General features: G+C 40.3%; 1 pseudogene; it reads left to right on the forward strand.

Annotated features, from left to right (window-relative positions):
* NMNAT1P4 (NMNAT1 pseudogene 4) lies at window positions 4,033-4,532 on the forward strand (annotated as a pseudogene).

Consider the following 18,241-nt stretch of genomic DNA (forward strand, 5'->3'; position numbering starts at 1 on the left):
TGAAGCATATTGCTTCACTGTAGGAAAATCATTTCAAAGACCCTCCAAGTTGTGAAAATGTAAGGCAAACAGACAATCTTTGCCTGTGAGAGTTTGTGTGTAGGTGTAGGTGTCCAAAATGAGCATGTGTCTGTTGCTTAACAACATCTGGCTTTCTCCTTTGCATGCAACAGGGAGATTCATTGTTGGGGTATGCCGAGGTAGTCCAGTGGCAGGAAGAGATGCTAAGACAGACCAAAGAAGGATTTATGGAGAAGACTTATGTGCTCCAGCATGACAAGAGGCTGGGATTGAGTTCTTTTCTAGCTTTGGCCCACCTGGCTTGGTGCTAAGCATTGAAGGGAAAAAATTGATGAGTGTGTGAATGTGACCTAAAATAGATGTGGTCTCAGAGCTCCAGAGGGACACTGGCAGGGTGATGGGAAGAAGAGAGCTGAATCAGTAGGAGCATCACAGCAGCCACAAACAAATGTCCTGATATCAGAATGTGCGGGACCCATCTTTAACCTCATGTGACAGAGACCAAGCCAAGGTGTTAGTGGATTGTTCATACTTCCCAGATTTCTCTCTCGTCCTGGCTTTTTGCAGGACTGATCGCCTTTGAACTGAGTAAGTTCCTAGTGTTCTTACCCAAGCAGGCTGGCTGAGGGAGGCCTTAGGAAATAAGTGGACTTCCTATCACTAAGGGCAGGTAATAAATTGAATAAATAAATATGAGGCAATTGTGTTTGTATTCCAAGCTAGCAAAGTGGATCATTCCAGATACACTATTGATGTGAATTTCTACAAAGTGAGTCATTTCCCCTATGGTCTTTTTTAACATTTCTTAAATGTATTCCCACAACACCTGCAGTTCAGTGCACTGTTTTTGAGAATGTAAGAAGCAGAGTGCACAACCTACCTATGAGAAAAATGGACCCAGAGGACAGGAATGAGAGCTTCGTGAAGAGGAAACCTGCATGTACTAGTCTGATTCTTTTTTCCGCTTGTTTAGGACACACTACCATGCTGCCTGTTTGAAGCCATCTCACAGGATATTTGCAAGAGCCACTGGGATGTTAGTTCCATGAAAGGAAGAGTTCTGTGTTGCTTATTGACCTATACCAGGGCCTGGTAGATGCTCAGTAAATATTTACTGAACAAACCGATGAATCTAGTGAACTAAGGGACATCAGAATATCTAAATACTGCAAAGTAGGATTGAAGACTGATGATGGTTAATGTCTGTCCACCAAAAACACTATTAGGGAGGGAGAAATTTTCTGGGAGAAGATTGTCAAGAGGAAAGAATACATTAATACAAATACACAGGGGAGAAAGCTTCTGTAATGGAGGGCTCCAGTCTAAGTCCCTTTAAGCTAAATTGAGCCAAGAGCATTGCCTTACTGATGAGTATTCCTTTGTAGAGGAAATAGAGATCTTTGAGAAGTGGAAGTAAATCTCAATTTTCTGGGCCTAATGCCAGATATTCTAGCACATTAAAGATGACAGACAAAGGAGATGACACCTTAAGATTTATTCCAGATTGTATATTTTCCTCCATTTGTGGGTTAGATTGTATATTTTTCTCCTTTTGTGGGTTGAGAAAGTAATAGAGAATGTGGGGAAAGAAGTTTTCTGCTGTTCTCTCTATAATTTTAGGAGCTACAGTATCTGGGAAGCTTGAGGTCTAACTAATCCTGTGATATCTAGACTAAGTGAGAAGAAATGGGTGGATCTCCAGGTAAAGGAAGATAGTAAGATGTATCTTGTCCACGAGTTCTTGTGGCTAAGTATGCACTAATAGTTGATTATCCCAAAGAGTTACTGAAAGGGCCAGGGTAGCTCTATTTACTGGGAAAGAGGGACATTTTATATTTGATTTGAAATGTTTGTTATACTGTCAGGAAACTCTATTGTTACAGATTTTCTGGGACTCTATACTACATTTCCCCCTTTATTCTAATGTTGAGAGTGACCTAGTAAGTCAACTGTATCTTGCCATTTATAATTTGGGAAGAGTTTAGAAAAGACACAGGTCTACAACGTTTTTATCTCATTCAGAAAAAATTGGAGGCACCCAGGCGCAGTGACTCACACCTGTAATCCCAGCACTTTGGGAAGTCAAAGAGGGTGAATCACCTGAGGTCAGGAGTTTGAGACCAGCCTGGCCAACATGGCGAAACTTCATCTCTACTAAAAATACAAAAATGAGCTAGGTGTGGTGGCACATGCCTGTATTCCCAGCTACTTGGGAGGCTGAGGCAGGAAAATTGCTTGAATCCAGGAGACAGAGGTTGCAGTGAGCCGAGATCGCACCACTGCACTCCAGCCTGGGCAAGAGAGTGAGACTCCATCTCAAAAAAAAAAAAAAAAAAAAAGGAGAAGAAAAGAAAAAATTCGAGGCTTTTCTGCAACAACAGGCATTTCTTTTCTCTTTTTTTCTTTTTGTTGAGACAGGGTCTTGCTCTGTCACCCAAGCTAGAGTATAGTGACGTGATCATAGCTCACTATAGTCTCAAACTCCTGGACTCAAGCAATCTTCTTGCCTCAGCCTCCCAAACTGGTGGGATTATAGGTGTCAGCCACCACTCCTGGTCAACTATAGGAATTTCAAAGCATAGGAGTTTGAAAGACTGAAATAGCTATGGGCTTCAAAAATCATATGTGGGAAAACAAACACAGTTAGAAAATTTATTTATTCAGGGCTGGGTTCTCACTACTGTAAAAAAGTAGAGGTAAAATTTAACAGGTAATAATGTTCTACAATTTCTGTGCATTTCCTTTTTAATGAAAGTACTATTTAGGTGTCTGCAAAGCAATTTTGCTAATAGAATAACAGGTAGTGAGATCATTTTATACAATTAGCATAACTGACATTAGGAAAATGTAGATGGCGCCAAGTGCAGTGGCTCACACCTGTTATCCTAGCACTTTAGGACTGTTTGAGGCCAGGAGTTTAATGCCAGCCTGGCTAACACAGTAAGACTCCGCCTCTACAAAAATAAAGTAAAAAATTAGCTGGGCATGGTGGCACACGCCTGTAGCCCTAGCTACTCAGGAGGCTGAGGCAGGAGGATCACTTAAGCCCAGGTGTTCAAGGTTACAATGAGCTGTGATCATGCCACTTCACTCTAGTCTGGGTGACAGAGTGAGACCTTAAAGAAAAGAACACAGAGAAAGAGAGAGAGAAAGAGAAAAGGAAAGAGCGGAGGAAGGAAGGAAAGGAAGAAAGGAAGGAAGGAAGGAAGCAAGGAAGGGAGGGAGGGAAAGTAAGAATGACCCATAGTCATCTTATGCATGTCTTGCTCCAGATGTAGAATCAGTCATTTCTCCAAAACGTTTTAGTTTTTTTAAATGGGGAATGCTATTTAGAGGTCACAATCTGAGTGTGAAAGATGTTCATTGCTATTGCATTGGTAATTGTTTTTAAAACTTTTTCTTCAGAAGAGCCAGGGAATATGTATTTTTAGACAAAGTACATCATGAGTTCATACTGATATTCTCAATTCAAAATTAAGGTTAAAGTAGTTTTAATTAAATTGTTTAAATTTGTATTTCTATTGCTTTTCTCTTATGTGGTAAAGCTTGGTTGATGACAATGTTAAAGTAATTACTTTTTGTTACCCGGTCATATGTTGCTAATGATATGGATACATTCTGAGAAATGCATTGTTAGGTGATTTCATTGTTGTGTGAACATCATAGACTGTACTTACACAAACCCAGATGGTATAGCCTACTACACACTTAGGCTATATGCTGTAGCCTATTGTTCCTAGGCTATAAATCTATACAGCATGTTACTGTACTGAATACTGGAAAAGGTCCAGTAAAAATACAATAGGAAAGGTGTTCACCTCACTGGCGTCCTGGACATGGGTTGTCTCCAGGAGCACTCAGGCCAGTGGACAGTGAGGGCGCAAGTTACAGTTTGGATATAAAACCATTTTTCTAGCCCACCTTAGAGAAGACTTTTGACACACTAATCGGAATGGTTCCAATAGTCTACTTTGCAAGACATTTCAGATTCAAAGAATTTCCTTTGTAAAAACAACAAGGGAGGCATCACAGTTTTCCATTTACATCAACAACTTCAAGTTCTTACTATGGAAAATTCAGAGACTGAAGTGGTTCTCCTTGCTGTAGCTCCTTCAATCCTATCACCAACAGGCACCTAAGGTTGTTTGAGCTGGCCAAGGACTATATGAATGGAACAGGAAGATATAGAGTTGTCAAACACATGATCTTTCCTGTTGGTGATGCTTATAAGAAGAAAGGACTCATTCCTGCCCATCACCAGGTCATCATAGCCGAACTTGCCACCAAGAATTCCAAGTGAGTGGAAGTTGATACATGGGAAAGTCTTCAGAAAAAGTGGAAAGAGACTATTACTTTGCTAACACACCATCAGGAGAAACTGGAGGCTACTAACTGTGATCACAAGCAGAACTCACCTACACTAGAAAGGCCTGGATGGAAGAGGAAGAGAACTGAACAAAGACAAGATTCTACTAAAAAAAAAATCCCTAGAGCCAAAACCAAAAGGTGCATCAAAGGTCAAGCTGCTGTGTGGGGCAGATTTACTGGAGTGCTTTGGTGTTCCTAATTTGTGGAAAGGTGAAAACATCACCCAAACTGTGGCTGACTATGGGCTCTTATGTATTACTTGGGCTGCAAATGATGCTCACAAATTCATCTATGACTCTAATGTGCTATGGAAACACCACAGCAACATTCATGTGGTGAATGAATGGATCACTAATGATATCTCATCCACAAAAATCCAGAGAGCCCTTAGAAGGGGCCAGAGCGTTCACTACTTGCTACCAGATCTTTTTCAAGAATACATCGAAAAGCATAATTTGTACAGCTCTGAGAGTGAAGACAGGAATGCTAGGGTCATGTTGGCCCCTTTGTAGAGAAATATTGCAGAAGCTAAGGCATAGAAATCCTACAGCATGATGTTTTGCACTTCCCTTTTGAGTATTTGAAACAATCTGGGTGTTAGTGATGGGAAATAAATTGTGATCCTGTTGCTTAAACTAAAGCTTAAAAGTTTAGTAAAAATCAGTGGTAAGGTAAAATCAGCGTCTTTTTTTAAAAATTTTTATCAGAAGGTGCTAAGATGAATGTTTTCTGTATTTTTTTTTTTTTCAGACAGAGTTTCACTCTGTTACCCAAGCTGGAGTACAGTGGCATGACCTTGTCTCACTGCAACCTCCGCCTCCCAGGTTCAAGCAATTCTCATGCCTCAGCTTCCTGAGTAGCTGGGACTACAGGCATGCACCACCATGCCTGGCTAATTTTTTGTATTTTTAGTAGAGATGGGGTTTCACCAGGTTGGCCAGGCTGGTCTTGAACTCCTGACCTCAGATGATCTGCCCACGTGAGCCTCCCAAAGTGCTGGGATTACAGGGCATGAGCCACCACACCCAACCTGTTTGGTCTTTTTTAAAAATATATGTATATATAAATCTTTTTAATCTTTCAAACAAGAGATTAGCAGCACACTAAATCCAGAAGAATTTTCTGTGAAACTAACTACAAATAAGAAGTCAAAAAGAACATCCTAGGTCTACCACATAAAAGAAGCAAAGTGTGAAGCGCAAAAGTTCATTTAAAATTCTAACTCTGGGCTTTTTGGGTTCTAAGATTGCTGAATAGGAACAGCTCCAGTCTACAGCTCCAAGCGTGAGCAATGCAGAAGATGGATGATTTCTGCATTTCCAACTGAGGTACTGGGTTCATCTCACTGGGGCTTGTTGGACAGTGGGTGCAGCCCATGAAGTGTGAGCGGAAGCAGGGCGGGGCATCGCCTCACCCGGGAAGTGCAAGGGATCTGGGAATTCCCTTTCCTAGCCAAGGGAAGTTGTGACAGACTGTACCTGGAAAATTGAGACACTCCCACCCTAATACTGTGCTTTTCCAATGGTCTTAGCAAACGGTGCACCAGGAGATTATATCCCGTACCTGGCTTGGCAGGTCCCACGCCCATGGAGCCTCGCTCACTGCTAGCACAGCAGTCTGAGATTGAACTGCAAGACAGCAGCAAGGCTAGGGGAGGGGCGTCCTCCATTGCTGAGGCTTGAGTAGGTAAACAAAGTGGCCGCCAGGAAGCTCGAACAGGACGGAGCCCACCACAGCTCAAGGAGGCCTGCCTGCCTCTGTAGATTCCACCTCTGAGGGCAGGGCATAGCTGAACAAAGGCAGCAGAAACTTTTGCAGACTTAAACATCCCTGTCTGACAGCTTTGAAGAGAGTAGTGGTTCTCCCGGCATGGAGTTTGAGATCTGAGAACGGACAGACTGCCTCCTCAAGTGGGTCCCTGACCCCCGAGTAGCCTAACTGGGAGACACCTCCAGTAGGATCCGACTGACACCTCATACAGCCGGGTGCCCCTCTGAGACGAAGCATCCAAAGGAAGGATCAGGCAGCAACATTTGCTGTTCTGCAATATTTTCTGTTCTGCAGCCTCCGCTGGTGATACTCAGGCAAACAGGGTCTAGAGTGGACCTCCAGCAAACTCCAACAGACCTGCAGCTGAGGGTCCTGACTGTTAGAAGGAAAACTAACAAACAGAAAGGACATCCACACCAAAATCCCATCTGTATGTCACAATCATCAAAGACCAAAGGTAGATAAAACCACAAAGATGGGGAGAAACCAGAGCAGAAAAGCTGAAAATTCCAAAAATCAGAGCACCTCTTCTCTTCCAAGGGAACACAGCTCCTCACCAGCAATGGAACAAAGCTGGACAGAGAATGACTTTGACGAGTTGAGAGAAGAAGGCTTCAGACGATCAGTAATAACAAACTTCTCCAAGATAAAGGAGGATGTTTGAACCCATCACAAAGAAGCTAACAACCTTGATAAAAGATTAGATGAATGGCTAACTAGAATAAACAGCATAGAGAAGACCTGAAATGACCTGATGGAGCTGAAAACCATGGCACAAGAACTACATGACACATGCACAAGCTTCAGTAGCCGATTCGATCAAGTGGAAGAAAGGGTATCAGTGATTGAAGATCAAATGAATGAAATGAAGTGAGAAGAGAAGTTTAGAGAAAAAAAAGTAAAAAGACATGGACAAAGCCTCCAAGAAATATGGGACTATGTGAAAAGACCAAATCTACGTCTGATTGGTGTACCTGAAAGTGACAGGGAGAATGGAACCAAGTTGGAAAACACTCTGCAGGATATTATCCAGGAGAACTTCCCCAACCTAGCAAGGCAGGCCAACATTCAAATTCAGGAAATACAGAGAATGCCACAAAGATACTCCCTGAGAAGAGCAACTCCAAGACACATAATTGTCAGAGTCACCAAAGATGAAATGAAGGAAAAATGTTAAGGGCAGCCAGAGAGAAAGGTTGGGTTACCCACAAAGGGAATCCCATCAGACTAACAACGGATCTCTCGGCAGAAACTCTACAAGCCAGAAGAGAGTGGGGGCCAATATTCAACAACCCAGAATTTCATATCCAGCCAAACTAAGCTTCATAAGTGAAGGAGAAATAAAATACTTTACAGACAAGCAAATGCTGACAGATTTTGTCACCACCAGGCCTGCCTTACAAGAGCTCCTGAAGGAAGCACTAAACACGGAAAGGAACAACCAGTACCAGCCACTGCAAAAACATGCCAAATTGTAAAGACCATCGATGCTAGGAAGAAACTGCACCAACTAACGGGCAAAATAACCAGCAAACATCATAATGACGGGATCAAATTCACACATAACAATATTAACCTTAAATGTAAATGGACTAAATGCTCCAATTAAAAGACACAGACTGGCAAATTGGATAAAGCGTCAAGACCCATCAGTGTATTGTATTCAGGAGACCCATCTCATGTGCAGAGACACACATAGGCTCAAAACAAAGGGATGAAGGCAGATCTACCAAGCAAATGGAAAACAAAAAAAAGCAGGGGTTGCAATCCTACTCTGTGATAAAACAGACTTTAAACCAACAAAGAGAAAAAGAGACAAAGAAGGCCATTACATAATGGTAAAGGGATCAATTCAACAAGAAGAGCTAACTATCCTAAATATATATGCACCCAATACAGGAGCACCCAGATTCACAAAGCAAGTACTGAGTGACCTACAAAGAGACTTAGACTCCCACACAATAATAATGGGAGACTTTAACACCCCACTGTCAACATTAGACAGATCAACAAGACAGAAAGTTAACAAGGATACCTAGGAATTGAACTCAGCTCTGCACCAAGTGGACCTAATAGACATCTACAGAACTCTCCACCCCAAATCAACAGAATATACATTCTTTTCAGCACCACACCACACCTATTCCAAAATTGACCACATAGATGGAAGTAAAGCACTCCTCAGCAAATGTAAAAGAACAGAAATTATAACAAACTGTCTCTCAGACCACAATGCAATCAAATTAGAACTCAGGATTAAGAAACTCACTCAAAACCGCTCAACTACATGGAAACTGAACAACCTGCTCCTGAATGACTACTGGGTAAATAATGAAATGAAGGCGGAAATAAAGATGTTCTTTGAAACCAATGAGAACAAAGACACAACATACCAGAATCTCTGGGACACATTTAAAGCAATGTGTAGAGGGAAATTTATAGCACTAAATGCCCACAAGAGAAAGCAGGAAAGATCTAAAATTGACACCCTAACATCACAATTAAGAGAACTACAGAAGCAAGAGCAAACACATTCAAAAGCTGGTAGAAGACAAGAAATAACTAAGATCAGAGCAGAACTGAAGGAGATAGAGACACAAGAAACCCTTCAAAACATCAATGAATCCAGGAACTGGATTTTTTGAAAAGATCAACAAAATTGATAGACTGCTAGCAAGACTAATAAAGAACAAAAGAGAGAAGAATCAAATAGATGCAATAAAAAATGATAAAGGGGATATCACCACCAATCCCAGAGAAATACAAACTACCATCAGAGAATACTATAAACACCTCTACGCAAATAAACTAGAAATCTAGAAGAAATAGATAAATTCCTGGACACATACGTCCTCCCAAGACTAAACCAGGAAGACATTGAATCCCTGAACAGACCAATAACAGGTTCTGAAATTGAGGCAATAATTAATAGCCTACCAACCAAAAAAAGTCCAGGACCAGATGGATTCACAGCCGATTTCTACCAGAGGTACAAACAGGAGCTAGTACCATTCCTTCTGAAACTATTCCAATCAATAGAAAAAGAGGGAATCCTCCCTAATTCATTTGATGAGGCCAGCATCATCCTGATACCAAAGCCTGGCAGAGACACAACAAAAAAAGAGAATTTTAGACCAATATCCCTGATGAACATTGATGCAAAAATTCTGGCAAACCAAATCCAGCAGCAGATCAAAAAGTTTATCCACCACGATCAAGTTGGCTTCATCCCTGGGATGCAAGGCTGGTTCAACATACACAAATCAATAAATGTAATCCAGCATATAAACAGAACCAAAGACAAAAACCACACGATTATCTCAACAGATGCAGAAAAGGCCTTCGACAAAATTCAACAGCCCTTCATGCTAAAAACTCTGAATAAACTAGGTATTGATGGGACGTATCTCAAAATAATAAGAGCTATTTATGATGAACCCACAGCCAATATCATACTGAATGGGCAAAAACTGGAAGCATTCCCTTTGAAAACTGGCACAAGACAGGGATGTCCTCTCTCACCACTCCTATTCAACATAGTATTGGAAGTTCTGGCCAGGGCAATCAAGCAGGATAAAGAAATACAGGATATTCAGTTAGGAAAAGAAGTCAAATTGTCCCTATTTGCAGATGTCATGATTGTATATTTAGAAAACTCCATCGTCTCAGTCCAAAATCTCCTTAAGCTGATAAGTAACTTCAGCGAAGTCTCAGGATACAAAATCAATGTGCAAAAATCACAAGCATTCCTCTACACCAATAAAAGACAAAGAGAGAGCCAAATCATGAGTGAACTCCCATTCACAATTGCTTCAAAGAGAATAAAATACCTAGGAATCCAACTTACAAGGGATGTGAAGGACCTCTTCAAGGAGAACTACAAACCACTGCTCAATGAAATAAAAGAGGACACAAACAAATGGAAGAACATTCCATGCTCATGGATTGGAAGAATCAATATCGTGAAAATGGCCATACTGCCCAAGATAATTTATGCAGCCAAAAAACACATGAAAAAATGCTCATCATCACTGGCCATCAGAGAAATGCAAATCAAAACCACAATGAGATACCATCTCACACCAGTTAGAATGGCGATCATTAAAAAGTCAGGAAACAACAGGTGCTGGAGAGGATGTGGAGAAATAGGAATGCTTTCACACTGTTGGTGGGACCGTAAACTAGTTCAACCATTTTGGAAGACAGTGTGGCAATTCCTCAAGGATGTAGAACTAGAAATACCATTTGACCCAGCCATCCCATTACTGGGTATACACCCAAAGGATTATAAATCATGCTGCTATAAAGACACATGTTTATTGCATGTATGTTTACTGCGGCACTATTCACAATAGCAAAGACCTGGAACCAACCCAAATGTCCATCAGTGATAGACTGGATTAAGAAAATGTGGCACATATACACCATGGAATACTATGCAGCCATAAAAAAGGATGAGCTCATGTCCTTTGTAGGGACATGGGTGAAGCTGGAAACCATCATTGTGAGCAACTATTGCAAGGACAGAAAACCAAATACCGCATGTTCTCACTCATAGGTGGGAACTGAACAATGAGAACACTTGGACACAGGGTGGGGAACATCACACACCAGGGCCTGTCGTGGGGTAGGGTTAGCAGGGAGGAATAGCATTAGGAGATATACCTAATGTAAATGATGAGTTAATGGGTGCAACACACCAACATAGCAGATATATACATACGTAACAAAACTGCACATTGTGCACATGTACCCTATAACTTAAAGTATAATAATAAAAAAAATAAAATTCTAACTTTGGTTATGAAGTGAATTGACATTTTATGTGTGCCTCTTTGTGGGTAATCTGCAGCCAGGGTAGACAAAAGAAGGATTTCTTAACGTGGTGATCTTGTAAAATGCACCATTGATAAATCATCTCCAGTTACACCAAATAAAGATTGTGCATAGGCCTGGCAGAAACATTGTACCAATAGTTAGTTCTCTGTGGCAGACATCAGAATTGCCAACTGAACTTTAGCAAGACCTATCTCCCTGGAGCTCCACCTTTGGAGGTAGGGAGTGAGGTCCAAGCCCTCATATGTTTAGAAACATACACAGGTATTTCTGATGCCCACCAGAGGTAGAGAGCTGCTGCCTTATGCTTTATACACATTCCCTTAGCTTTGTTGTGGATCATGATCTCGCTGTGTCACTCAGGCTGGAGTGCAGCGGCATGATCTTGGCTTACTGCAACCTCTGCCTCCCAGGTTCAAGCAATTCTCGTGTCTCAGCCTCCCAAGTAGTTGGGATTACAGAGGCAAGCCACCACACTGGGCTAATTTTTATATTTTTAGTAGAGATGGGGTTTCGCCATGTCGGCCAGGCTGGTCTCGAGCTCCTGACCTCAAGTGATCCACCCACTTCGGCCTCCCAAAGTGCTGGGATTACAGGCATGAGCCACCATGCCTGGCCATCATCTTCCCTCTATTTTCAGGAGCAACTTCAGAGATGACAGATTGCTACCTTGAATTGAGAGAACCACAGAGAATGAGGGGTCTCATTCAAGGAGTTAATAAGTCTGAATGTTCTTAGCCTTTATTGATAGCTTAATCAGCAGACCTGAGTGGACTTCTCTCACACTGTTATGCCTTCCTACTTAGAAGTACCCGTGGCCTGCTCAGCTGTGACTCTGCTGACCTCAGGACCTCACTGGTCAAGGTATGTAGGGACCCTTGCAGGAGACTTGGTAATGGTGAAATGATCCTATCGTTACATTATCTATGGAGCAACAACTTTGTACAGAGAACCAGCTGCTTGGCTTTTTCTCCCAGTGCCCAGGATGCTGCTGATGCGGCCGTGTAATAGCATAATTTTGGGTGTCCTCAAGGACAGAACTTCCCCTTGGAATGGAAGTTAGAACAATGTACTTCACAGGGGAATAAATATTAATGACAGCTATGATTTTCTTTAAGGAAGAAGAAAATATGCCATTGTTGGTTCCCTCTCGCATCATTTCCATAATTTGCTTTTGTACTGTGAATTTAGAGGAAATGAGTGATGCTGGTGTTTTGTTTTGCTTGTTTGTTTGATGCTGGGGTTTTATGTGTTGTACACTTTTTACCCCTTACATTGTGTCATTTAAATGCAACAAACCTGCAGTAAAAGTCCTTTATTGGCATCTTCATTCAGATGAAAAATAAAATAAAATAGGAAAGATTTTTAAATGGTACACTTGCATAGGGCATTTACCATGAATAGAGCTTGCAGGACTGGAAATTGCTCTGTGTGAGTAGATGAGTGAGTGGTGGGTGAATGGGAAGGCCTAGGACATTACTATACACTACTGTAGACTTTATAAACACTGCACACTTAGGCTACACTAAATTTATATAATAAAAGTTATCTTCAATAATAAATTAACCTTAGCTTACTGTAACTTTTCGATTTTATAAACTTTAAAATTTTTTAACTTTTGGAGTATTTTGTAATCACTTAGCTTAAAATACAAACACATTGTACAATTGTACGAAAATATTTTCTTTATATTATTATTCCATAAACTTTTTATATTTTTAAATTAAAAAAAAATTTTTTTTTTGCTTTTTAAATTTTTTTTTGTCAAAAATTAAGACACAGACACACACATTAACCTAGGCCTGCACAGGATAAGCATCAGTATCACTGCTTCCCACTGTCACATCTTGCCCCACTGGAAGATGACATGCATGGAGCTGTCACCTCCTACTATAACAATACCTTCTTCTGGAATACCTCCTGAAGGACCTGCCTGAGATTGCTTTACAGTTAACTTTTTTTTTTAATAAGTAGAACTACACCCTAAAATAATGATAAAAAATACAGTATAGCAAACACATAAACCAGTAACATAGTCATTTGTTATCAAGTATTATGTACTGTACATAATTGTATGTGCTATACTTTTATGCAACTGGCAGTACAGCCAGTTTGTTAACACCAGCATCACCGCAAACAGGAGTAATGCATCATGCTATGACATTATGATGGCAATGTCACTAGGTGACAGGAATTCCTCAGCTCCATTATAATCTTATGTGAGACCACCATCATACAGGCAGTCCATCATTGACCAAAACATCACTATGTGTTGCATCATTGTATATTTTTATGATAATTTCAAATTAAAAATGCCAAATATTATTAATAATGATATGACTACTGAAAGTTTTCTTTTCTAGTTATTTTTGCCCTTCAATTATATTCCACGAAGGATTTACAGATTGTTGCTTTTTTTTTTTTTTTTTTGAGACAGAGTCTCGCTCTGTCGCCCAGGCTGGAGTGCAGTGGCACGATCTTGGCTCACTGCAACCTCCACCTCTCCAGGTTTAAGCAATTCTCTGCCTCAGCCTCCGGAGTAGTTGGGATTACAGGTGTGTGCCACCATGCCCGGCTAATTTTTTTGTATTTTTAGTAGAGACGGGGTTTCACCATCTTGGCCAGGCTGGTCTTGAACTCCTGAGCTCATGATCTACCTGCCTCAGCCTCCCAAAGTGCTGAGATTACAGGCGTGAGCCACCACTCCCGGCATTTTTTTTTTTTTTTTTTGAGATGGAGTCTCACTCTGTCACCAGGCTGGAGTGCAGTGATGCAGTCTCAGCTCACTGCAACCTCTGCCTCCTGGGTTCAAGTGATTCTCCTGCTTCAGCCTCCCAAGTAGCTGGGACTACAGGTGTGTGCTACCACACCCAGCTAATTTTTTTGTATTTTTAGTAGAAATGAGGTTTCACCATGTTAGCCAGGATGGTCTCGATCTCCTGACCTTGTGATCTGCCTGCATTTTTTAAGTCATTTGAAATAATTCCTTTCTGTATCACAAGCTTGATTAACAGGTTGATTTGTTTTTTATTTTAGTTTCTATTGATTCTTTTACAAAATGACTTTCACTTTATAAGTAAATAGAATATTTCCAGGGTTCAAAGTCAAATCCACAAAACATGGTATATTCAGAGAAATCTAGCTTCCATCCTGTTTTTTCTACCTTTCTTTCCCTCTGCCCTCTATGTAACTTTAAAACATTTTTTGTTTATCCTTCCATTATTGTTTTTTATGATCAAACATGTATATATTCATATCCCTCACCTTTTAAAAATAAATGACAACATACAATACATATTTTTTCTCTACTCAACTTTTTTCACTTAACAATATATCCTGGCAATTACTCTCTGTAGCATATAGAAAACAGACCTAACACTTTGTTATAGCTCCAAAGTACTCCATCGTGTTAATTCAGCTAGACCTCTAGGAATGGACAGTTGTGTTGTTTCCAGTCTTTGACAAAGCCAAGGTTTTTGAGAATGGAAGAATGACTAGTAGTGTTTAATGAATCTGAGCCATGCAATAGAATAAAGACAGAAAAGTATTTATTAGATTTGGCAATACAAAGGTCAATAAAATTTTAACCAGGGATGTATATACACAACCTACCCAGCAGTATGCAGTGGCCCTGCCTCAGCAAGAACAGTTTCAATGGCATGGAGCAGACAGAAGTTGGATTTTAGTGGGTTATGGGATGAATGTGACTTATGAAAATGAAGACAGTGGGGGCCTAAACTACTTTTTCTGGAAGTGTGAATGAGAAGAGAAAAAGAACATGGCTAAAACTAGATACATATTTAGGAGCAAGAGGGGTTTTATTTTTGTGGCTCTGTTTTGTGTATTTATAAGCGTGTGCATATGTGTATATTTTTAGGATGTTTACTGTTTGGGGAAAGGAGCCAATGGAGAGAAAGAGTTGAGACTACAGGAAAAGAAAGGTTGTTGCTAGTGAAGAAATTGTGCGATTCCTCATTTTTTGAAGAGAAGACTCCTGAGGTTATTGAGAGTATGATTGAAAAATATAAAGCTGTCCACCCCCTAACATCACTCTCTGATACATTACCCTGTTTTATTGTCCTCATAGCTTAGATTTCACATCTTATATTGTGTTCCAGTGTTCACTGTTGCTCTCCTCAATTAAAATATCATTGCCAACTTAAAGTGGAAGCTTCTTGCTCACTGCAATCATCCAGTGCCTAGAACTGTGCCCAGCATGCAGCAGGTACTCATTAAACATTAGCCAACTAAGTTAATATTGTTCTTTCACTGTCACCAGGACTTTCTATAGTAACGTTCCCATGTTTTTACTTATTATTTTATCTCCTGTGATTTTACACAAAGCATTCCAACTTAGCCATGGCTTTTGGGGACAATACAATCCATTTGAAATGGATACAATTTGAGCTTAAGCACCTTAAGAAGAAAACACAAACTTGGTTGGCTGTGGTGGCTCACCTACATCTGAATCCCTCTGGGTTCTACCCAGGACTCCGGGAAGCCAAGGCTGGAGGATCATTTGAGGCCAGGAGTTCAAGACCAGGAAGATCCTATCTCCATTAAAAAAAAAAAAATAGCTGGTTGTGGTGGCATGCATCTTCAGTCCTAGAACTACTAGGGAGGCTGAGATGGGAGGATGGCTCGAACTCAGGAGTTCAAGCCTGTAGTGAGCTGTGATTGCACTACTTCACTCCAGCTTGGGAGACAGAGTAAGACCTCAAAACAAACAAACAAAAAACAACTTCAGGAAGTCTTATTTAGGCAAAATGGAGTCTCCCTTTGTTAGCTGGGGAAAAAAGAGATCACCTTGTCTCAAATGGAAAGGCACAACATTAGCCTGTCGTTTGAAAGATGAGGTAACTTAGGGTATAAACTGATACAGAGTGGAATAATCTTTCGGGAAACCAGAAGAAGGGCATTTTCTCATGAGAGAGTGAACTTTTATGATCCACAATTATTGCAAATAAATTGCAGCCTGTGGCTGTTCCACTATGGTAGTATCTGGGACTTTTTAATTTAGAGGTAAAATATTAGCAAGCAAATTTGGCCACAGATCTAAGGCCAAATCTTCCAGTCCACTTTTTAGATAATAAAGATAATATTTAGACTTTTATCTCTCTGACTTCTGATTTTTGTTTGTTTGTTTTGTTTTTTTGGGACAGAGTCTGCCACCTAGGCTGGAGTGCCCTGGTGCAATCATAGCTCACTGTGGCCTTTAACTCTCGGGCTGAAGCGATCCTCCCGCCTTAGCCTCCCAAAGCGCTGGAATTACAGGTATAAGCCACCGCGCTGGGCCTGATTTCGGTCCTTATTTGCCTTCATACTTAGGAGAGCAAGCAGGTGTCATTTATTGACCATCCTCTAAAAACCCTCAATAGACAGTGTTCAAATATGTATAATTCAGCTGCATAGCCAATCCTTTCAGACTGATCATTATGGATCTTTTTTAATTAAAAAAATTCTTCTTCATAACTACTACAGTTGGATAACATTAAAGGAAGTCATACAAGGCAAGATTTTTCAAAGAAACATCTAAGGTACATGTTGCAACTCTAACTGATACATACCTTTTTTTCCTGTGCTTCTTTCCATATATCCTAAATACTGTCTTGGAGGCAAGACCCCTTAAGTAGGTTCATGCTCACAGAACCTTGAGGCTTTCTTCTTAATTTCCAGCTCAGCTCCTAAAATCTTTCTTCTTATTGCCTTCTTTCAAGCCAAAAGGAAAGCATTTTTTGTTGTTGTCAATGCTGTGCTTTTAAGTACCTGTTTATATTCTAAAGAAAAGGGGAAAAGACCTATTTAGGAAGTCTCGGCCTTGAGAGTGAAAAGCCATTGACTCTTCCATATAACCAGGAGGAGACAACATTCCACTTTACCCTTTTCTCAGGGTTAAATTTGGGAAGAAAAATTACTGTAAGGTTTTTTTTTCTACCTCAGTAAAATTATACCTTAGAAAAGCTAATGGTCTTAGCAACAGCTTGAGATCACAATTGCTTCAGATATAAAATTAAGAAGCTATTTCTGAATATATCTGAATCTTTCTAGATCAGAATATTTTAAAATAAAACCTTTTAAATGTCTAGAACAGAAATTCACAATATTTTATGACTCTTCTAACTTATTACCAAGAAACAACTTGTACATTCTCTGCAGAAAGAATAAAACTCAATAGAATAAAGACAGGAGGATTATTAAAACAACAAGTATTTCAAAAGATTACCTACCTATGTGTTAATAAGTCTCAACCAGTAAAGTCAGAAATAAGTGACAAACATAGTAAGACAAAAAAAAAAAAAGCCTTCAGTAGCAGGGACTCCCATTTGCCTATCCAATATTCAGTGGTGTGCTGGTAAAAGTTTAACAACTGCCTCTCCACAAAAGGGGGCAGGGCCTTAATTTTCAGTGTTTGACAATTTTTGCAACGTAAATACTCCCACCATGGCCAATTTCAGGCTACCAATGTGTTTCATGATAAGCTTGCAAAGAATCTGAAAATGTCACCTTCAGCTCTCACAGCCAGTACAAGTCATTTGGAGCACACCACTGCATTCATCTTTTACTTTCTTTCTCACTTTGTCATTTTGTTGCCTGGATTAAAAATAATTTGCTTAGATTAAAAACCAAAAATGATATTTCCTAGCCATCCTTGCAAATAGGAAAAGCCACATGAGAGTTCTCACCAAGGATGCATAGGCAGATGTTGTAGTAGTGATGACAGCCTATCACCCATGGTGGTGGTAGGTGGTGTCTTCCTTAAAAGGACTTCAGGCTTGGTCCATCCCTCTTGTCCTTGCCTGTTTATTTTTCCTGTCGAGAATAAAGAGGTGACTGGAGCTGCAGTGGCCATTTTATAATCAACAATGAGGGAGAGGCAAAGGGAATCACAGAGACCTTGGCCTAACACCTCTGAGTCGATTACTTGGGGTTTTTAAAATTTACCTGACACACATTCAAACCCCTGGTTTGTGCCAGATATGGCCCTGAGCTACCCTACTGAACTATGCCTGAAATTCCTTTTTCTGGTCTCTTTCTACAAGAGATGAAGTAAATCCTATCTTGCTTAAGCCACTGTTATTTAGGTTTTGTATTAAATGTAGCCAAAGCCAATCTTTCAGCATGGAAAACCTTGCCAATGGATGAAGGCCTAGTGAAGGGAAATTACTTTTGAAAGCAAAACCGTTAAATAATTTGTTTCTGGAAATCATGTGATCATTAAAACTTTAAAAAAGGGACTAACCCACTA

This window comes from Homo sapiens, chromosome 4 (assembly GCF_000001405.40).
Source record: "Homo sapiens chromosome 4, GRCh38.p14 Primary Assembly".
Classification (NCBI taxonomy): Eukaryota; Metazoa; Chordata; class Mammalia; order Primates; family Hominidae; genus Homo; species Homo sapiens.